Consider the following 23569-nt stretch of genomic DNA (forward strand, 5'->3'; position numbering starts at 1 on the left):
CTTTTGGTAGAATCTGCAAGTGGACATTTGGAATTCTTTGGGGCCTACGGTGGAAAAGGAAATATCTTCACAGAAAAACTACACAGAATTATTCTGGGAAATTTTTTTGGGATGTGTGCATGCATCTCACAGAGTTGAACTTTCTTTTGATTGAGCAGTTTGAAACACTCTTTTTGTAGAATCTGCAAAGGGACATTTGAGCACTTTGTGGCATATGGTGGTAAAGGAAATATCTTCACATAAAAACTAGACAGAAGCATGCTGACAAACTTCTTTGTGTTGTTTGCATTCATCTCACAGAATTGAACCTTTCTTTCCATTGAGCAGTTTTGAAACACTGTTTTTGTACAATCTGCAAGTGGACATTTGGAGCACTTTGAGGCTTATGGTGTAAAAGGAAATATCTTCACTTAAGAACTAGACAGAACATTCTGAGAAACTTCTTTGTGGTGTGTGCATTCATCTCACATAGTTGAACATTTCTTTTCAATGAGCAGTTTTGAAACACTCTTTTTGTAGAATCTACAAGTGGACACTTGGTGTGCTTTGAGGTCTATGGTGGAAAAGGAAATATCTGCTCATAAAACATGGACAGAAACATTCTGAGAAACTTCTTCATGATGTGTATATTCATCTCAAAGATTTGAACCTTTCTTTTGATTGAACAGTTTGGAAACACTCTTTTTGCAGTATCTGCAAGTGGACATTTGGAGGGCTCTGAGGCCTCTGGTGGAAAAGGAAATATCTTCACTTAAGAAGTGCAAAGAATCATTCTGAGAAAATACTTTGTGATGTGTGCATTCATCTGACAGAGTTGAACCTTACTGTTGATTGAGCAGGTTTGAAACATCCTTTTTGTACTAGGTACAAGTGGACATTTGGAGTGCGTTGATGCCTATGGTGTAAAAGTATATATCTTTACATAAAAACTAGACAGAAGGATTCTTAGAAATGTCTTTGTTATATGTGCATTCATCTCACAGAGTTGAAACTTTCTTTTGATTGACTAGTTTGGAAATCTTTTTGAAGGATCTGCAAGTGGACATTTGGATCACTTTGAGGCCTATGGTGGAAAAGGAAATATCTTCACATAAGAAGTAGACAGAAACATTCTGAGAAACTTCTTTGTGATGTGTGCATTCTTTTCACAGAGTTGAACCTTTCTTTTGATTGAGCAGCTTTGAAATGCTTTTTTTGTAGAATCTGCAAGTGGACATTTGGAGCGCTTTGAGGAGTGTAATGGAAAACAAAATATCTTCATGTAACAACTATGCAGAAGTATTGTGAGAAACTTCTTTGTGATGAGTGCATTCATCTCACAGAGTTGAAACTTTCTTTTGATTTTCTAGTTTGGAAACTCTCTTTTTGTAGAATCTGCAAGTGGACATTTGGAGCGCATTGAGGCCAATGGCAGAGAAGGAAATATCTTCACATAAAAACTAGACAGAAGCATTCTGATAAACTTCTTTGTGATATGTGCATTCACCTCACAGTGTTGAACCTTACTTTTAATTGAGCCGTTTTGAAACTCCCTTTTTGTACTATCTGCAAGTGGACATTTGGAGTGCTTTGAGGCCTATGGTGGAAATGGAGATATCTTCACATAAAAACTAGACAGAAGCAATCTGAGAAACTTCTTTTTGATGTGTGCATACATCTCACAGAGTTAAACATTTCCTGTGATGGAGCACTTTTGAAACTCTCTTTTTGTAGAATCAGCAACTGGACATTTTGAGCTCTTTGAGGCCTATGGTGGAAAAGGAAACATCTTCACATAAAAACTAGACGGAAGAATTCTCAGAAATTTCTTTGTGGTGTGTGAGTTCATCTCACAGAGTAGAACCTTTCTTTTGATTGAGCAGTTTGGAAACACTCTTTTTGTAGAATCTGCAAGTGGACATTTGGAGAACTTTGTGGCCTATAGTGGAAAAGGAAATATCTTCACATAAAAACTAGACAGAAGAATTCTGAGAAACTTCTTTGTGATGTATGCATTCATCTCATAGCGTTGAGCATTTCTTCTGATTGAGCAGCTTTGAAACACTCTTTTTGTAGAATCTGCATGTGGACATTTGGAGCGCTTTGAGGCCTATAGTGGAAAAGGAAATATCTTCATATAAAAACTATACAGAAACATTCTTACAAACTTCTTAGTGATGTGTGCATTCATCTCATAGAGTTGAACCTTTCTGTTCATTGAGCAGTTTTGAAAAACTCTTTTTGTGGAATGTGCAATTGTACATTTGAAGCGATTTGAGGCCTATGGTTGAAAAGGAAATATGTTCACATAAAAACTAGACAGAAGCATTCTGACCAATTACTTTGTGATGTGTGCATTCATCTAACAGAGTTGAACCTTTCTTTTGGTTGAGTAGTTTGGAAATTCTCTTTTTGTAGGATCTGCAAGAGCACATTAGGAGTGCTTTGGGGCCTAAGGTGGAAAAGGTAATATCTTCACTTAAGAAGTAGACAGAAGCATTCTGAGTAACTTCTTTGTGATGTGTGCATTCATCTCACAGAGTTGAACCTTTCTTTTGATTGAGTAGCTTAGAAACTCTCTTTTTGTAGAATCTGCAAGTGGACATTTGGAGCGCATTTGGGCCTATGGTGGAAAAGGAAATATCTTCATTTAAGAAGTAGACGGAAGCATTCTGTGAAACTGCTTTGTGATGTGTGCATTCCTCTCACAGAGCTGAAACTTTATTTTAATTGAGCAGTTTTGAAAAACTCTTTTTCTAGAAATTGCAAGTGGACATTTGGAGTGCTTTGCAGCCGACGGTGGAAAAGGAAATATCTTCACATACAAACTAGACAAAAGCATTCTGACAAGCTTATTTGTGATGGGTGCATTCATCTCAAAGAGTTGAACCTTACTTTCGATTGAGCAGTTTTGAAACACTCTTTTTGTAGAATCTGCAAGTGGACATTTGGAGAGCTTTGAGGCCTGTGGTGGAAAAGGAAATATCTTCACACAAAACTAGACAGAAGCATTCTGAGAAACTTATATGTAATATATGCAATCATCTCACAGAATTTCAACTTTCTTTTGATTGAGCAACTTTGAAACACTCTTTTTGTAGTATCTGCAAGTGGACATTTTTGGCGCTTTGAGGCAATGGTGGAAAAGGAAATAGCTTCACATAAAAACTATACAGAAACATTCTGAAAAACTTCAGTGAGATGTGTGGATTCATCTCACAGAGTTGAACCTTTCTTTTGATTGAACAGTTTTGAAAGACTCTTTTTGTAGAATGTGAATTTGGACATTTGGTGCGCTTTGCAGCCTATGGTAGAAAAGGAAATATCTTCACATAAAAACTAGACAGAAGCATTCTGACAAACTTCTTTGTGATTTGTGCATTCATCTCACAGAGTTGAACCTTTCTTTTGATTGAGCGGCTTTGAAACACTCTTTTTGTAGAATCTGCATGTGGACATTTGGAGCTCTTTGAGGCCTATGGTGGAAAACGAAATACCTTCACATAAAAACTATACAGAAACATTCTGATAAACTTCTTTGTTATGTGTGCATTCTTCTCACAGATTTGAACCTTTCTTTCCATTGAGCAGTTTTGAAAAACTCTTTTTGTGGAATCTGCAATTGTACATTTGAAGCGCTTTGAAGCCTATGGCTTAAAAGGAAATATGTTCACATAAAAACTAGACAGAATCATTCATAGAAAATCCTTTGTGTTGTGAGCATTCATCTCACCGGGTTGAACATTTCTTTTGATTGAGCAGGTTTAAACACTCTTTTTGTAGAATCTGCAAGTGGACATTAGGAGCCCTTTGAGTCCTGTGGTGGAATAGGAAATATCTTCATTTAAGAACTAGACAGAAGCATTCAGAGAAACTTCTTTGTGATGTGTGCGTTCATCTCACAGAGTTGAAACTTTCTTTTCATTGAGCAGTTTTGAAACAATCTTTTTGTAGAATCTGCAAGTAGACATTTGGAGCGCTTTGCAGCCTATGGTGGAAAAGGAAACATCTATACATGAAAACTAGATAGAAGCATTCTGACAAACTTCTTTGTGATGTGTGCTTTCATATCACAGAGTTGAACATTTCTTTTGCTTGAGCAGTTTGGAAACACTCTTTTTATAGAACCCGCATGTGGACATTTGGAGTGCTTTGAGGCCTACGGTGGAAAAGGAAACATCTTCATATGAAAACTAGACAGAAGCATTCTGACAGACTTTTTTTGATGTGAGAATTCACCTCACAGAGTTGAACCCTACCTTCGATTGAGCAGTTTTGAAACACTCTTTTTGTAGGATTTGCAATTGGACATTTGGAGTGCTTTGAGGACTATGGTGGAAAAGGAAATATCTGCACATAAACACTAGACAGAATTATTCTGAGAATATTATTTGTGATGTGTGCATTCATCTCACAGAGGTGAACCTTTCTTTTGATTGAGCAGTTTTGAAACACTATTTTTGTGGGATCTGTAAGTGGACATTTGGAGCGTTTTGACGCCTATGCTGGAAAAGGAAATATCTTCACATAAAAACTGGACAGAAGCATTCTGAGAAATTTCTTTGTGATGTGAGCATTCATCTCACAGAGTTGAAGCTTTCTTTTGATTGAACAGCTTTGAAACACTCTTTTTGTAGAATCTGCATGTGGAAATTTGGAGCATTTTGAGGCCTATTGTTGAAAAGGTAATATCTTCACATAATAACTAGACCCAAGCATTCTGAGAATCTTCTTTGTGATATGTGCATTTATCTCACAGCGTTGAAATTTTCTTTTGATAGAGTGGTTTGGAAACTCTTTTTGTAGAATCTGCAAGGGGACATTTGGAGAGCTTTGAGTCCTGTGGTGGAAAAGGAAATATCTACACTTAAGAACCTGACAGAAGAATTCTGAGAAACTTCTTTGTGAAATGTGCATTCATCTCACAGAGTTGAACCTTTCTTTTGATTGAGCAGTTTTGAAACACTCTTTCTGCAGGATCTGCAAGTGGACATTTGCAGCCCTTTGGGGCCTATGGTGGAAAAGGAAATATCTTCATATAAAGACTAGACAGAAGCATTCTCGCAAATTTCTTTGTGATGTGTGCATTCATCTCACTGAGGTGAACCTTTTTTTGATTGAGTAGTTTGGAAACTCTCTTTTTGTGGAATCCGGAAGTGGACATTTGGAGTGCTTTGGGACCAATGGTGGAAAAGGAAATATCTTCACTTAAGAACTAGACAGAAGCATTCTCAGAAACTTCTTTGTGATGTGTGCATTCATCTCACAGAGTTGAACCTTTCTTTTGATTGAGCAGTTTTGAAACACTCTTTTCGTAGAATCTGCAAGCGGACATTTGGAGCGCTTTGAGGCCTATGGTGGAAAAGGAAATATCTTCACATAAAAACTAGACAGAAACATTCTGAAAAACCTCTTTGTGATGTGTGCATTCATCTCACAGGGTTGAAACTTACTTTCGATTGAGCAATTTTTAAACACTCTTTTTGTAGTGTCTAGAATTGGACATTTGGAGTCCTTAGAGTCCTATGGAGGAAAAGGAAATATCTTCATATAAAAACTAGAGAGAAGTGTTTTGAGAAACTCTTTGTGATGTGTGCATGCATTCATCTCACAGATTTGAACCTTTCTTTTGATTCAGCAGCTTTGAAACACTCTTTTTGTAGCATCTAGAATTGGACATTTGGAGCGCTTAGAGTCCTATGGTGGAAAAGGAAATATATTCACGTAAAAACTAGACAGAATCATTCAGAGAAAATTCTTTGTGATGTGTGCATTCATCTCACAGAGTTAAACCGTTATTTTGATGGAGCAGTTTGGAAAAACTTTTTTTGTACGATCTGGATGTTTACATTTGGAGCGTTTTGAGGCCTATGGTGTAAAAGGAAATATCTTCAAATAAAAAACTAGACAGAAGCATTCTGAGAAACTTCTTTGTGATGGGTGCATTCATCTCACAGAGTTGAACATTTCTTTTGATTCAGCAGCTTTGAAACACTCTTTTTGTAGAATATGCAAGAGGACATTTGGAGTGCTTTGAGGCCAATGGTGGAAAAGGAAATATCTTCACATAAAAACTAGACAGAAGCATTCTGAGAAACTTCTTTGTGACGTGTGCATTCATCTCAGAGTGTTGAACCTTTCTTTTGATTGAGCAGCTTTGAAACACTCTTTTTTTAGAATCTGCATGTGCAGATTTGGAGCGCTTTGAGGCCAATGGTGGAAAAGGAAATATCTTCACATAAAAATGATTCAGAAATATTCTGAGAAACTTCTTCCTGATGTGTGCATTCATGTCACAGAGTTGAACCTTTATTTCATTGAGCAGTTTTTATTTATTTATTTATTATTATTATACTTTAAGTTTTAGGGTACATGAGCACAATGTGCAGGTTAGTTACATATGTATACATGTGCCATGCTGGTGCACTGCACCCACTAACTCGTCATCTAGCATTAGGAATATCTCCCAATGCTATCCCTCCCCCCTCCCCCCACCCCACAACAGTCCCCAGAGTGTGATGTTCCCCTTCCTGTGTCCATGTGTTCTCATTGTTCAATTCCCACCTATGAGTGAGAATATGCGGTGTTTGGTTTTTTGTTCTTGCGATAGTTTGCTGAGAATGATGATTTCCAATTTCATCCATGTCCCTACAAAGGACATGAACTCATCATTTTTTATGGCTGCATAGTATTCCATGGTGTATATGTGCCACATTTTCTTAATCCAGTCTATCATTGTTGGACATTTGGGTTGGTTCCAAGTCTTTGCTATTGTGAATAATGCCGCAATAAACATACGTGTGCATGTGTCTTTATAGCGGCATGATTTATAGTCCTTTGGGTATATACCCAGTAATGGGATGGCTGGGTCAAATGGTATTTCTAGTTCTAGATCCCTGAGGAATTGCCACACTGACTTCCACAGTGGTTGAACTAGTTTACAGTCCCACCAACAGTGTAAAAGTGTTCCTATTTCTCCACATCCTCTCCAGCACGTGTTGTTTCCTGACTTTTTAATGATTGCCATTCTAACTGGTGTGAGATGGTATCTCATTGTGGTTTTGATTTGCATTTATCTGATGGCCAGTGATGGTGAGCATTTTTTCATGTGTTTTTTGGCTGCATAAATGTCTTCTTTTGAGAAATGTCTGTTCATGTCCTTAAAAATCAATGTACAAACATCACAAGCATTCTTATACACCAACAACAGACAAACAGAGAGCCAAATCATGAGTGAACTCCCATTCACAATTGCTTCAAAGAGAATAAAATACCTAGGAATCCAACTTACAAGGGATGTGAAGGACCTCTTCAAGGAGAACTACAAACCACTGCTCAAGGAAATAAAAGAGGATACAAACAAATGGAAGAACATTCCATGCTCTTGGGTAGGAAGAATCAATATCGTGAAAATGGCCATACTGCCCAAGGTAATTTACACATTCAATGCCATCCCCATCAAGCTACCAATGACTTTCTTCACACAATTGGAAAAAACTATTTTAAAGTTCATATGGAACCAAAAAAGAGCCCGCATCGCCAAGTCAATCCTAAGCCAAAAGAACAACGCTGGAGGCATCACACTACCTGACTTCAAACTATACTAGAAGGCTACAGTAACCAAAACAGCATGGTACTGGTACCAAAACAGATATATAGATCAATGGAACAGAACAGAGCCCTCAGAAATAACGCCACATATCTACAACTATCTGATCTTTGACAAACCTGAGAAAAACAAGAAATGGGGAAAGGATTCCCTATTTAATAAATGGTTCTGGGAAAACTGGCTAGCCATATGTACAAAGCTGAAACTGGATCCCTTCCTTACACCTTACACAAAAATCAATTCAAGATGGATTAAAGACTTAAACTTTTGACTTAAAAGCATAAAAACCCTAGAAGAAAACCGAGTCATTACCATTCAGAACATAGGCATGGGCAAGGACTTCATGTCTAAAACACCAAAAGCAATGGCAACAAAAGCCAACATTGACAAATAGGATCTAATTAAACTAAAGGGCTTCTGCACAGCAAAAGAAACTATCATCAGAGTGAACAGGCAACCAACAAAATGGGAGAAAAGTTTCACAAGCTACTCATCTGACAAAGGGCTAATATCCAGAATCTACAATGAACTCAAACAAATTTACAAGAAAAGAACAAACAACCCCATCAAAAAGTGGGTGAAGGACATGAACAGACATTGAGCAGTTTTGAAAAGCTCTTTTTGTAATATCTGCAAGTGGACATTTGGAGCGCTTTTTGGCCTATGGTGGAAAAGGAAATATCTTCATTTAAGAACTAGATGGAAGCATTCTGTGAAACTGCTTTGTGATGTGTGCATTCCTCTCACAGAGCTGAAACTTTATTTTAATTTAGCAGTTTTGAGAACTCTCATTTTGTAGAATCTGCAAGTGGACATTTGGAGCACTTTGCGGCCTATGGTGGAGAAGGAAATATCTTCACATTAAAACTAGGCAGAAGCATTCTGACAAGCTTATTTGTCATTTATCTCATGGAGTTGCCATTTATCTCATGGAGTTGAACTTAACTTTCGATAGAGCAGTTTTGAAACACTCCTTTTGTAGAATCTGCAAGTGGACATTTGGAGAGCTTTGAGGCCTGTGGTGGAAAAGGAAATATCTTCACACAAAACTAGCCAGAAGCAATCTGACAAAGTTTTTGTGATGTGTGCATTCATCTCGCAGAGTGGAACCTTAATTTCGATTGAGCAGTTTTGAAACACTCCTTTTGTAGAATCTGTAAGTGGACATTTGGAGCGCTTTGATGCCTATGGTGGAAAACGAAATATCTTCACATAATAACTAGACAGAAGCATTCTGAGAAACTTCTATGTGATGTGTGCATTCATCTCATAGAGTTGAAACTTTCTTTTGATTGAGCCACTTTGAAACACTCTTTCTGTAGTATCTGCAAGTGGACATTTTTGGCGCTTTGAGGCAATGGTGGAAAATGTAATATCTTCACATAAAAACTAGACAGAAGAATTCTGAGAAACTTCTTTGAGATGTGTGTCTTCATGTTACAGAGTTGAACCTTTCTTTTGATTGAGCAGTTTGGAAACACACTTTTTGAAGAATCTTCAGGTGGACAATTGGAGCACTTAGTGGCCTATGGTAGAAAAGGAACTATGTTCACATACAATCTAGACAGAAGCAATCGGACAAGAGCAACTCTGAAACACTCTTTCTGTAGTATCTACAAGTGGACATTTTTGGCGCTTTGAGGCAATGGTGGAAAAAGAAATATCTTCACACAAGAACTATACAGAAACATTCTGAAAAACTTCACTGAGATGTGTGGATTCATCTCACAGAGTAGAACCTTTCTTTTGATTGAGTAGTTTTGAAAGACTCTATTTGTAGAATCTGAATTTGGACATTTGGTGCGCTTTGTGGCCCATGGTGGAAAAGGAAATATCTTCACATAAAAACTAGACAGAAGCATTCTGACAAACTTCTTCATGATTGCGCATTCATGTCACAGAGTTGAACCTTTCTTTTGAATGAGCAGCTTTGAAACACTCTTTTTGTAGAATCTGCATGTGGACATTTGGAGCTCTTTGAGGCCTATGGTGGAAAAGTAAATACCTTAATATAAAAACTATACAGAAATATTCTGACAAACTTCTTTGTTATGTGTACATTCTTCACACAGATTAGAACCTTTCTTTTCATTGAGCAGTTTTGAAAAACTCTTTTTGTGGAATCTGCAAGTGTACATTTGAAGCGCTTTGAGGCCTATGGTTTAAAAGGAAATATGTGCACATAAAAACTAGACAGAATCATTCATAGAAAATCCTTTGTGTTGTGGGCATTCATCTCACCGGATTGAACATTTCTTCTGATTGAGCAGGTTTAAACACTCTTTTTGTAGAATCTGCAAGTGGACATTGGGAGCCCTTTGAGTCCTATGGTGGAATAGGAAACATCTTCATTTAAGAACTAGACAGAAGCATTCTGAGAAACATCTTTGTGATGTGTGCATTCATCTCACAGAGTTAAACATTTCTTTTGATTGAGCTGTCTTGAAACTCTATTTTGTAGAATCTGCAAGTGGACATTTGGAGCGCTTTGAGGCTTATGGTAGAAAAGGAAATATCTTCACATAAAATCTAGACAAAAGCAATCTGAGAAACTTCTTTGTGATGTGTGCATTCATCTCACAGAGTTAAAATTTCTTATGATTGAGCAGTTTTCAAACTCTCTTTTTGTAGAATCTGGAAGTGGACATTTGGAGCCCTTTTAGGCCTATGGTGGAAAAAGAAATATCTTCCCATAAAAACTAGACAGAAGAATTCTGAGAAACTTCTTGGTGATGTGTGCGTTCATCTCACAGAGTTGAAACTTTCTTTTGATTGAGCAGTTTGGAAACTCTCTTTTTGTAGAATCTGCAAGTGGACATTTGGAGCGCTATGCGGCCTATGGTAGAAAAGGAAATATCTTCACATAAAACCTACACAGAAGCAATCTGAGAAACTTCTTTGTGATGTGTGCTTTCATCTCACAGAGTTAAACCTTTCTTTTGATTGAGGAGTTTTGAAACTCTCTTTTTGTAGAATCTGCAAGTGGACAATTGGAGCACTTCGAGGCCTTCGGTGGAAAAGAAAATATCTCCACATAAAAATAGACAGAAGATTTCTGAGAAACTTCTTTGTGATGTGTGCATTCATTTCACAGATTTGAACATTTCTGTTGATTGAGTAGTTTGGAAACTCTCTTTTTTAGAATCTGCAAGTGGACATTTGGAGCGCTTTGCGGCCTATGGTAGAAAAGGAATTATCTTCACATAATATCTAGACAGAAGCAATCTGAGAAACTTCTTTGTGATATGTGCATTCATCTCACAGAGTTAAGCCATTCTTTTGATTGAGCAGTTTTGAACCTCTCTTTTCGTAGACTCTGCAAGTGGACATTTCGAGCACTTTGAGGCTTATGGTGAAAAAGGAAATATCTTCCCATAAAAAGTAGACAGAAGAATTCTGAAAAACTTTGTGATGGGCACGTTCATCTCACAGAGTTGAAACTTTCTTTTGATTGAGCAGTTTGGAAACCCTCTTTTTATAGACTCTGCAAGTGGACATTTGGAGCACGTTGCGGCCTATGGTAGACTAGGAAATATGTTCTCATAAAATCTAGACAGAAGTAATCTGAGAAACAACTTTGTGATGTGTGCATTCATCTCACAGAGATAAACATTTCTTTTGATTGAGCAGTTTTGAAACTGTCTTTTTGTAGAATCTGCAAGTGGACATTTGGAGCGCTTTGAGGCCTATGGTGGAAAAGGAAATATCTTCACATAAAAACTACATAGAAGCATTCTGAGAAAGATTTTGTGATGTGCGCATTAATCACCCAGAGTTGAATCTTTCTTTTGAAGGACCAGTTTTGAAATACTCTGTTTGTAGAATCTTCAAGTGGACATTTCGAGTGCCTTGAGGCCTATGGTTTAAAAGGAAATATCTTCACATAAAAACAAGACAGAAGAATTCTGAGAAAGTTCTTTGTGATATGTGCGTTCATCTCGCAGAATTGAGCCTTTCTTTTGATTGAGCAGTGTTGAAACCCTCTTTTTGTAGAATCTGCAAATGGTCATTTGCAGCACTTTGAAGCCTACGGTGGAAAAGGAATTTATCTTCACATAAAAACTAGAGAGAAGAATTCTGACAAACTTCTTTCTGATGTGTGCGTTCATCTCACAGAGTTGAAACTTTCTTTTGATTGAGCTGTTTGGAAACACTCTTTTTGTAGAGTCTGCAAGTGGACATTTGGAGCACTTTGTGGCCTATGATAGAAAAATAAATATCTTCACATAAAATTCAGAGAGAGCCAATCTGAGAAACTACTTTGTGATGTGTGCATTCATTTCACAAGTGAAAACTTTAGTTGGCTTGAGCAGTTTTGAAACTCTCTTTTTGTAGAATCTGCAAGTGGACATTTGGAGCGCTGTTAGGCCTCTGGTGGAAAAGGTAATATCTTCACATAAATACTAGACAGAAGAATTCTGAGAAACTTCTTTGTGATGTGTGCATTAATCTCACTGAGTTGAACCTTCATTTTGATTGAGCATTTTGGAAGCACTCCTTTTGCAGAATCTGCAAGTGCAGATTTGGAGCGCTTTGTGGCCAGTGGTAGAAAAGGAAATACCTGCAAATAAAATCTAGACAGAAGCAATATGAGAAAATAATTTGTGATGTGTGCATTCTTCTCAGAGACTTAAACATTTCTTTTGATGGAGCATTTTTTAAACTCTGTTTTTGTAGAATCTGGAAGTGTACATTTGGAGCGGTTTGAGGACAATGTGGAAAAGAAAATATCTTCACATCAAAACCAGATTGAAGAATACTGGGAAACTTCTTTGTGATGTGTGCGTTCATCTCACAGAGTGGAACCTTTCTTTTGATTGAGCTGTTTGGAAACACTCTTTTTGTAGAATCTGCAAGTGGACATTTGGAGCACTTTGTGGCCTATGGTAGAAAAGGAAATATCTTCACATAGAATTCAGACAGAAGCAATCTGAGAAACTGCTTTGTGATGTGCACATTCATTTCACAGAGTTAAACTTTTCTTTTGATTGAGCTGTCTTGAAACTCTATTTTGTAGAATCTGCAAGTGGACATTTGGAGCACTTTGTGGCCTATGGTAGAAAAGGAAATATCTTCACATAGAATTCAGACAGAAGCAATCTGAGAAACTACTTTGTGATGTGCACATTCATTTCACAGAGTTAAACTTTTCTTTTGATTGAGCTGTCTTGAAACTCTATTTTGTAGAATCTGCAAGTGGACATTTGGAGCACTTTGTGGCCTATGGTAGAAAAGGAAATATCTTCACATAGAATTCAGACAGAAGCAATCTGAGAAACTATTTTGTGATGTGCACATTCATTTCACAGAGTTAAACTTTTCTTTTGATTGAGCTGTCTTGAAACTCTATTTTGTAGAACCTGCAAGTGGACATTTGGAGCGCTTTGAGGCCTATGGTAGTAAAAGAAACATCTTCACATAAAATCTAGACAAAAGCAATCTGAGAAACTTCTTTGTGATGTGTGCTTTCATCTCACAGAGTTAAAACTTTTTTTTGATTGAGCAGTTTTGAAACTCTCTGTTTGTAGAATCTGCAAGTGAAAATTTGGAGCGCTTTTAGGCCTATGGTGGAAAAGGAAATATCTTCCCATAAAAACTAGACAGAAGAATTCTGAGAAACTTCTTTGTGATGTGTGCATTCATCTCACAGAGTTGAAACTTCCTTTTGATTGAGCAGTTTGGAAACACTCTTTTTGTAGAATCTGCAAGGGACCATTTGGAGTACTGTGAAGCCTATGGTAGACAAGGAAATATCTTCACATAAATTCTAGACAGAAGCAATCTGAGAAACTTCTTTGTGTTGTCTGCATTCATCTCATAGAGTTAAACATTTCTTTTGATTGAGCAGTTTTGAAACTTTTTGTAGAATCTGCAAGTAGACATTCGGAGCACTTTGAGGCCTATGCTGGAAAAGGAAATATCTTCACATAAAAACTAGACAGAAGAATTCTGAGAAACTTCTTTGTGATGTGTGCACTCATATCACAGAGTTGGACCTTTCTTTTTATTGAGCAGTTTGGAAACACTGTTTTTGTAGAATCTGCAACTGGACATTTGGAGAGCTTTAAGGCCTATCTTTGAAAAGGAAATATCTTCACATAAAAACTAGACAGAAGAATTCTGAGAAATATCTTTGTGAGGTGTGCATTCATCTCACAGAGTAAAACATTTTATTGATTGAGCAGTTTTGGAACTCTCTTTTCATTGAATCTGCAAGTGGACATTTGGAGCGCTTTGCGGCCTCTGGTGGAAAAAGAAATACCTTCACATAAAAACTAGACAGAAGAATTCTGAGAAACTTCTTCGTGATGTGTGCTTTCATGTTACAGAGTTGAAGCTTTCTTTTGATTGAGCAGTTTGGAAACATTCTTTTGTAGAATGTGTAAGTGGATATTTGGAGCACTTTGCGGCCTATGATAGAAAAGGAAATATCTTCACATAAAATCTAGACAGAAGAAATCTGAGAAACTTGTTTGTGATGTGTGCATTCATCTAACAGAGTTAAAACTTTCTCTTTATTGAGCAGTTTTGAAACTCTCTTTTTTTAGAATCTGCATGTGGACATTTGGAGCGCTTTGAGGCCTATGGTGGTAAAGGAAATATCTTCACATAAAAACTAGATAGAAGCATTCTGAGAAACCTCTTTGTGATGTGTGGGTTCATATCACAGAGTTGAAACTTTCTTTTGATTGACCAGTTCAGAAACACTCCTTTTGTATAATCTGCACGTGGATATTTGGAGTGCTTTGCGTCCTATGGTAGAAAAGGAAATTTCTTCACATAAAATGTAGACAGAAGCAATCTGAGAAACGTCTTTGTGATGAGCGCATTCGTCTCACAGATTTAAACCTTTCTTTTGATTGAGCAGTTTTTAAACTACCTTTTTGTAGAATCTGCAAGTGGACATTTGGAGTGCTTTGAGGCCAATGTTGGAAAAGGATATATCTTCACATAAAAGCTACACAGAAGAATTCTGAGAAACATCTTTGTGATGGGTGCATTCACCTCAGAGTTGAACCTTCCTTTTGATTGAGCAGTTTGGAAACCCTCTTTTTGTGGAAACTGCAAGTGGATATTTGGAGGAATTTGTGGCCTATGCTAGAAAAGGAAATATCTTCATATAAAATCTAGACAGAAGCAATCTGAGAAACTTCTTTGTGATGTGTGCATGCATCTCACTGAGTTAAACCATTCTTTCAATTGAGCAGTTTTGAAACTCTCTTTTTTTAGAATCTGCAAGTAGATATTTGGAGCTGTTTCAGGACGATGGTGGAAAAGGAAGTATCGTCATATAAAAACTAGCCAGAAGATTTCTGAGAAACTTCTTTGTGATGTGTGCATTCATCCCACAGAGTTGAACTTTTTTTTTGATTAAGCAGTTTGGAAACACTCTTTTTGTAGAATCTGCATGTGGACACTTGGAGCACTTTGAAGCCTATGGTGGAAAAGGAAATATCTTCACATAAAACCTAGACAGAAGCAATCTGAGAAACTTCTTTGTGATGTGTGCATTCATCTCACAGAGTTGAACCTTCCTTTTGATTGAGCAGTTTGGAATCCCTCTTTTTGTAGAATGTGCAAGTGGACATTTGGAGCGCTTTGCGGACTATGGTAGAAAAGGAAATATCTTCACATTAAATCTAGACAGAAGCAATCTGAGAAATTTCTTTGGGATGTGTGCATTCGTCTCACAGAGTTAAACCTTCCTTTTGATAGAGCAGTATTGAAACTCTCTTTTTGTAGAATCTGCAAGTGGACATTTGGAGTGCTTTCAGGCCTATGGTGGAAAAGGAAATATCTTCACATAAAAACTAGACAGAAGAATTTGGACAAACTTCTTTGTGATGTGTGCATTCATCTCACAGAATTGAGCCTTTCTTTTGATTGAGCAGTGTTGAAACCCTCTTCTTGTAGAATCTGCAAATTGTCGTTTGGAGTGCTTTGAGGCCTGTGGTGGAAAAGGAATTTATCTTCACATAAAAACTAGAGAGAATTCTGACAAACTTCTTTATGATGTATGCGTTCATCTCACAGAGTTCAAACTTTCTTTTGATTGAGCAGCTTGGAAAGAGTCTTTTTGTAGAATCTGCAAGTGGACATTTGGAGTGCTTTTTGGCCTATGGACGAAAACGAAATATCTTCATATAAAATCTAGACAGTAGCAATCTGAGAAACTTCTTTGTAATGTGTGCATTCAACTCAGAGAGTTAAAACTTCAGTTTGATTGAGCAGTTTTGAAACTCTCTTTTTGTAGAATCTGCAAGTGGACATTTGGAGCGCTTTGAGGTCTATGGTAGAAAAGGAAATATCTTCACATAAAAACTAGACAGAAGAATTCTGACAAACTTCCTTGTGATGTGTGTGTTCATCTCACTGAGTTGAATCTTTATTTTGATTGAGTAGTTTGGAAACACTCTTTTTGTAGAATCTGCAAGTGGACATTTGGAGCACTTTTCGGCCTATGGTAGAAAAGGAAATACCTTCACATAAAATCTAGACAGAAGCAATCTGAGAAACTTCTTTCTGATGTATGCATTTATCTCACAGAGTTAAACCTTTCTTTTGATTGAGCAGTTTTGAGACTCTCTTTTTGTAGAATCTGCCAGTGGACATTTGGAGTGCTTTGAGGTGTACGGTGGAAAAGGAAATATCTTCACATAAAAACTAGACAGAAGAATTCTGACAGACTTCTTTGTGATGTTTGTGTTCATCTCACAGAGTAGAACCTTTCTTTTGATAGAGCAGTTTTGAAACTCTCTTTTTATAGAATGTGCAAGTGGACATTTGGAGCACTTTCAGGCCTATGGTGGAAAAGGAAATATCTTCACATAAAAAAATGACAGAAAAATTCTGAGAAACTTCTTTTTGATGAATGCGTTCATCTGAGAGAGTTGAACCTTTCCTTTGATTGAGCAGTTTGGAAACACTCTTTTTGTAGAATCTGCAAGTGGACATTTGGAGTGCTTTGAGGCCTATGGTGGAAAAGGAAATATCTTCACATAAAATCTAACAGAAGCAATCAGAGAAACTTCATTGTGATATGTGCATTAATTTCAGAGAGTTGAACTTTTCTTTTCATGGAGTAGTTTTGAAACTCTCTTTTTGTAAAATCTGCAAGTGGACTTTTGGAGCGCTTTGAAGCCTATGGTGGAAATGGAAATATCTTCATATAAAATCTAGACTGAAGAATTCTGAGAAACTTCTTTTTGAAGTGTGTTTTCATCTCATTTGAACTTTCCTTACGATTGAGCAGTCTGGAAACACTCTTTTTGCAGAATCTGCAAGTGAACATTTGGTGTGTTTTGCAGCCTATGGTTGAAAAGGAAATATCTCCATATAAAATCTAGACAGAAGTAATCTGAGAAACTCCTTTCTGATGCGTGCATTGATCTCATAGAGTTTAACCTTTCTTTTGATTCAGCAGTTTTGAAACTCTCTTTTTGTAATATCTGCAAGTGGACATGTGGTGCGCTTTGAGGCCTATGGTGGAATAGGAAATATCTTCACATAAAAAATAGATAGAAGCATTCTGTGAAACTTCTTTGTGATGTGTGCATTCATCTCCCAAGTCTGAACCTTTCTTTTGATGGACTAGTTTTGAAATACTCTTTTCGTGGAATCTGCAAGTGGACATTTCGAGCGCATTAAGGTCTATGGTGGAAAATGAAATATCTTCACATAAAAACTAGACAGAAGAATTTTGAGAAACTTCTTTGTTTTTTGTGCTTTATTCTCACAGAGTTGAATCTTTCTTTTATTTGAGCAGTTTGGAAACACTCTTTTTGAAGGGTCTGCAAGTGGACATTTGGAGTGCTTTGCGGCCTATGGTAGGAAAGGAAATATCTTCACATAAAATATAGACAGAAGCAATCTGTGAAGCTTCTTTGTGAAGTGTGCATTCGTCTCAGAGTTAAACCTTTCTTTTGATTGAGCAGTTTTGAAACTCACTTTTTGAGGAATTTGCAAGGGGACATATGGAGCATTTTGTGGCCTATGGTGGAAAAGGAAATACCTTCGCAAAAAACTAGACAAAAGAATTCTGAGAAACTATTTTGTGATGTGTGCGTTCATCTCACAGAGTTAAACTTTTTTTGATCGAGCAGTTTGGAACCACACTTTTTGAACAATCTGCAAGTGGACATTTGAAGCTCTTTGAGAACTGTGGTGGAAAAGGAAATATCTTCACATAAAAACTAGACAGAAGAATACTGTGAAATCACTTTGTGATGCGTGCGTTCATCACACAGAGTTGAAAGTTTCCTTTCATTGGGCTGTTTGGAAACACTCTTTTTGTAGAATCTACAAGTGGACAATTTTAGCGCTTTGCGGCCTATGGTAGAAAAGGAAATATCTTCACATAAAATCTAGACAGAAGCAATCTGACAAACTTCTTTGTGATGTGTGCATTCATCTCACAGAGTTAAACCTTTCTTTTTATTGAGCAGTTTTGAAACTCTCTTTTTGTAGTATCTGCAAGTGGACATTTGGAGCCCTTTTAGGCCTGTGGTAGAAAAGGAAATCTCTTCACATAAAAACTAGACAGAAGAATTTTGAAAAACTTCTTTGTGATGCGTGCTTTCATCTCCCATAGTTGAAACTTTCTTTTGATACAGCAGGTTGGAAACACTCTTTTGTAGAATCTGCAAGTGCACATTTGGAGTGCTTTGCGGCCTGTAGTAGAAAAGGAAATATCTTCACATAAAGTCTAGACAGAAGAAATCTGAGAAACTTCTTTGTGATGTGTGCATTCATCTCATGGAGTTAAACTTTTCTTTTGATTGAGCAGTCTTGAAGCTCTCTTTTTGTAGAATCCGCAAATGGATATTTGGAACTCTTTGAGGCCAACAGTGGAAAAGGAAATATCTGCACATAAAAACTAGACAGAAGAATTCTGAGAAACTTCTTTGGGACGTGTGCATTCATCTCACAGATTTGAACCTATCTTTTGATTGAACAGTTCGGAGACACTCTTTCTGTAGAATATGCAAGTGGACATTTGGAGAACTTTGTGGCGTATGGTAGAAAAGGAAATATCTTCACATAAAATCTAGACAGAAGCCATCTGAGAAACTTCTTTGTGATGTGTGCATTCATCTCACAGAGTTAAACCTTTCTTTTGATTGAGCAGTTTGGAAACACTCTTTTTGTAGAATCTCAAAGTGGACATTTGGAGCACTTAGAGGCCTATGGTGGAAAAGGAAATATCTTCACATAAAAACTAGATGGAAGAATTCTGATAATCTTCTTTGTGATGTGTGTGTTCATCTCACAAAGCTGAAATTTTCTTTTGATTGAGCAGTTTGGAAACACTCTTTTTGTAGAATCTGCAAGTGGACATTTGCAACGCTTTGCGGCCTATGGTTGAAACAGAAATATCTTCACATAAAATCTAGAAAGAAACAATCTGAGAAACTTCTTTGTGATGTGTGCATTCATCTCACAGAGTTAAACCTTTCTTTGGATTGAGCGGTTTTGAAACTCTCTTTTTGTAGAATCTGCAAGTGGACATTTGGAGAGCTTTGAGGCCTATGGTGGAAAAGGTAATATCTTCACATAAAAACTAGACAGAAGAATTCTGACAAACTTCTTGGGAATGTGTGCGTTCATCTCACAGACTTGAACCTTTCTTTTGATTGAGCAGTTTGGAAACACTCTTTTTTGTAGAATCTGCAAATGGACATTTGAAGCACTTTGCGACCTATGGTAGAAAAAGTAATACCTTCACATAAAATCTAGAGAGAAGAAATCGGAGAAACTTCTTAGTGATGGGTGCATTCATCTCACAGAGTTTAAACTTTCTTTTGATTCAGCAGTTTTGAAACTCTCTTTTTGTAGAATCTGCAAGTGGACATTTGGAACGCTTGAGGCCTATGGTGGAAAAGGAGATATCTTCACATAAAAACTAGAAAGAAGAATTCTGACAAACTTCTTTGTGATGTGTGCGTTCTTCTCACAGAGTGTAACCGTTCTTTCGATTGAGCAGTTTGGTACCACTCTTTCTTGTAGAGTCTGCAAGTGGACATTTGGAGCGCTTTGCAGTCTATGGTAGAAAAGTAAATATCTTCACATATAATCTAGACAGAAGTAATATGAGAAACTTGTTTGTGATATATGCATTCATCTCACAGAGATAACCCTTTCTTTTGATTGAGCAGTTTTGAAACTCTCTTTTTGTAGAATCTGCAAGTGAACATTTAGAGCATCTTGAGGCCTATGGTGGAACAGGAAATATCTTCACATAAAAATTAGACAGAAGAATTCTGAGAAACTTCTTTGTGATGAGTGTGTTCATCTCACAGAGTTGAACGTTTCTTTTGATTGAGTAGTTTGGAAACACTCTTTTTGTAGAATCTGCAAGTGGACATTTGGAACTCTTTGCGGCCAATGGTAGAAAAGGAAATATCTTCACATAAAATCTAGACAGAAGCAATCTGAGAAACTTTTGTGATGCGTGCATTAATCTCACAGAGTTAAACCTTTCTTTTGATTGAGCAGATTGGAAACTCTCTTTTTGTAGAATCTGCAAGTGGACATTTGGCAGCGCTTCGAGGCCTGTGGTGGAGAAGGAAATATCTTCACATAAAAAGTAGATAGAAGCATTCTGAGAAAGTTCTCTGTGATGTCTGCACTCATCTCCTGGAGTTCCAACTTTCTTTAGGAGAACCAGTTTTCAAATACTCTTTTTGGAGAATCTGCAAGGGGACATTTCAAGCACCTTGAGGCTTAAGTTGGAAAAGAAAATATCTTCACACAAAAAAAGAAGAATTCTGAGAATCTTTTTTATGATGTGTACGTTCATCTAACAGAGTTGAACCTTTCTTTTGATTGTGTAGTTTGGAAACACCCTTTTTGTAGAATCGGCAAGTGGACATTTGGAGCGCTTTGTGGCCTATGATAGAAAAGGAAATATCTTCACATAAAATCTAGAAGGAAGCAATCTGAGAAACTCCTTTGTGATGTGTTCATTCATCTCACAGAGTTGAAACTTTCTTTTGATTGAGCAGTTTTGAAACACTCTCTTCGTGGAATCTGCAAGTGGATATTTGGAGCCCTTTGAGGCCTATTGTGGAAAAGGAAATTTCTTCACATAAAAACTACTCAGAAGCATTCTGAGAAACACCATTGTCATGTTTGCATTCAACTCACAGAGTTGAAACTACATTTTGATTGAGCAGTTTTGAATCTCTCTTTTTGCAGAAACTACAAGTGTATGTTTGGAAAGCTTTGAGGCCTATTGTGGAAAAGGAAATATCTTCACATAAAAACTACACAGAAGCATTCTGAGAAACTACTTTGTGAGGTGTGCATTCAACTCACAGAGTTGAAATTATCTTTTCTTTGAGGAGTTTTCAATCTCACTTTTTGTAGAATCTGCAAGTGGATATTTGACGACCTTTGTGCCCTATGGTGGAAAAGGAAATATCTTGAAATAAAAACTACACAGAAGCATTCAGAGAAACTTCTTCGTGATATGTGCATTCAACTCACAGAGTTGAACCTATCTTTTGATTGAGCAGTTTTGAATCTCTCTGTTTGCACAATCTGAAGGTGGATATTTTGAGCCCTTTGAGGCCTACAGTGGAAAAGCAAATATCTTCACATAAAAACTATGCAGAAGCATTGTGAGAAACTACTTTGTGAGGTGTGCATTCAACTCACAGAGTTGAACTTATCTTCTCATTGAGCAGTTTTGAATTTATCTTTTGGTAGAATCTCCAAGTGGATATTTGGAGCCCTTTGCGCCCTATGGTGGAAAAGGAAATATCTTCAAATAAAAACTACACAGAATCACTCAGAGAAACTGCTTTGTGATGTGTGCATTCATCTCACAGGGTTGAACCTAGCTTATGATTGAGCAGTTTTGAAACACTCTTTTTGTAGGATCTTCAAGTGGATATTTGGAGCGCTTTGAGGCCTACAGTGGAAAACCAAATATCTTCAAATAAGAACTACACAGAAGCATTCTGAGAAACTTCTTTGTGATGTGTGCATTCATCTCACAGAGTTGAAACTTTCTTTTGATTGAGCAGTTTTGAAACACTCTTTCTGTTGAATCTGCAAGTGGATATTTGGAGCCCTCTGCAGCCTATGGTGGAAAAGGAAATATCTTCAAATAAAAACTACAAAGAAGCATTCCCAGAAACTTCTTAATGATGTATGCGTTCAACTCACAGAGTTGAACCTATCTTTTGATTGAACAGTTTTGAATCTCTCTTTTTGTAGAATCTGCAAGTGGATATTTGGAGCGCTGTGAGGCCTATTGTGGAAAATCAAATATGTTCACATAAAAACTACAGAGAAGCATTCTGAGAAACTTCTTTGTGCTGTGTGCATTCAACTCACAGAGTTCAACCTGTCTTTCAATTAGCACTTTTGAATCTCTTTTTGCAGAATCTGCAAGTGGATGTTGGGAGAGCTTTGAGGCCTATGGTGGAAAAGGAAATAGCTTCACATAAAAACTACACAGAAGCATTCTGAGAAACTTCTTTGTGATGTGTGCATTCATCTCACAGAGTTGAACCTTTCTTTTGATTGAGCAGTTTTGAAACACTCTTTTTGTAGAATCTGCAAGTGGATATTTGGAGAACTTTGAGGCCTATTGTGGAAAAGGAAATATCTTCACATAAAATCTACTCAGAAGCACTCTGAGAAACTTCTTTCTGATATGGGCATTCAACTCACAGAGTTGAACCTTTCTTTTGATTGAGCAGTTTTGAAACACTCTTTTTGTAGAATCTGCAAGTGGATATTTGGAGCCCTTTGCACCCTATGGTTGAAAAGGAAATATCTTCAATAAAAACTACACAGAAGAATTCTAAGAAACTTCTTCGTGATGTGTGCATTCAACTGACTGAGTTGAACTTATCTTCTCATTGAGTAGTTTTCAATCTCTGTTTTGTAGAATCTGGAAGTGGATGTTTGGAGCCCTTTCACCCTATTGTGGAAAAGGAAATATCTGCAAATAAAACTACACAGAATCATTCAGAGAAACTTCTTTGTGATGTACACATTCAACTCACAGAGTTGATCCTATCTTTTGATTGAGCAGTTTTGAATCCCTCTTTTTGCAGAATCTGCAGGTGGATATCTGGAGCCTTTTGAGGCTTACTGTGGAAAATCAAATATGTTCACATAAAAACTACACAGAAAGATTCTGAGAAGCTTCTTTGCGATGTGTGCATTCAAGTCACAGAGTTGAACCTATCTTTTGATTGAGCAGTTTTGAATCTCTCTTTTTGCAGAACCTGTATGTGGATGTTTGGAGAGCTTGGAGGCCTATTGTGGAAAAGGAAATATCTTCACATAAAAACTACAGAGAAGCATTCTGAGAAACTTCTTTGTGAGGTATGCATTCAACTCACAGAGTTGATCTTATCTTCTCATTGAGCAGTTTTGAATCTCTCCTTTTGTAGAATCTGCAAGTGGATATTTGGAGCCCTTTGAGCCCTGTGGTGCAAAAGGAAATATCTTGAAATAAAAACTACAAAGAAGCATTCAGACAAACTTCTTTGTGATGCATGCATTCAACTCACAGAGTTGAACGTATCTTTTGATTGAGCAGTTTTGAATCTCTCTTTTTGCAAAATCTGCAGGTGGATATTTGGAGCCCTTTGAGGCCTACTGTGGAAAAGCAAATATCTTCACATAAAAATTACACAGAAGTATTCTGAGAAACTACTTCGTGACGTGTGCATTCATCTCACAGGGTTGAATCTATCTCATGATTGAGCAGTTTTGAAACACTCTTTTTGTAGAATATGGAAGTGGATATTTGGAGCCCATTGAGGCCTATAGTGGAAAGGAAATATCTTCACATAAAAACAACACAGAAGGATTCTGAGAAACTTCTTTGTGATGTGTGCATTCATCTCACTGAGTTGAATCTTTCTTTTCATTGCGCAGTTTTGAAACACCATTTTTGTACAATCTGCAAGTGGATATTTGGAGAACTTTGCCGCCTATTGTGGAAAAGGAAACATC

The 23569-nt window shown here is 37.1% G+C and overlaps 1 pseudogene across 1 annotated transcript in view, besides 1 other annotated feature; it reads left to right on the top strand.

Annotated features, from left to right (window-relative positions):
* The window catches only part of LOC101929583 (methylenetetrahydrofolate dehydrogenase (NADP+ dependent) 1 like pseudogene), a 60728-nt pseudogene that overhangs the window by 29426 nt on the left and 7733 nt on the right, over nt 1–23569 (top strand). The gene's annotated exons all lie outside the window — the stretch shown is intronic.
* Nucleotides 9799–10750: an enhancer, noted in NCBI's record as "OCT4-NANOG hESC enhancer chr9:69691376-69692327 (GRCh37/hg19 assembly coordinates)". NCBI's record gives its function as "activates a minimal SCP1, AML or CMV promoter by ChIP-STARR-seq in primed H9 embryonic stem cells {active_cell/tissue: H9 hESC(primed)}" and the evidence as "EXISTENCE:reporter gene assay evidence [ECO:0000049][PMID:30033119]".

This window comes from Homo sapiens, chromosome 9 (genome assembly GCF_000001405.40).
Source record: "Homo sapiens chromosome 9, GRCh38.p14 Primary Assembly".
Classification (NCBI taxonomy): domain Eukaryota; kingdom Metazoa; phylum Chordata; class Mammalia; order Primates; family Hominidae; genus Homo; species Homo sapiens.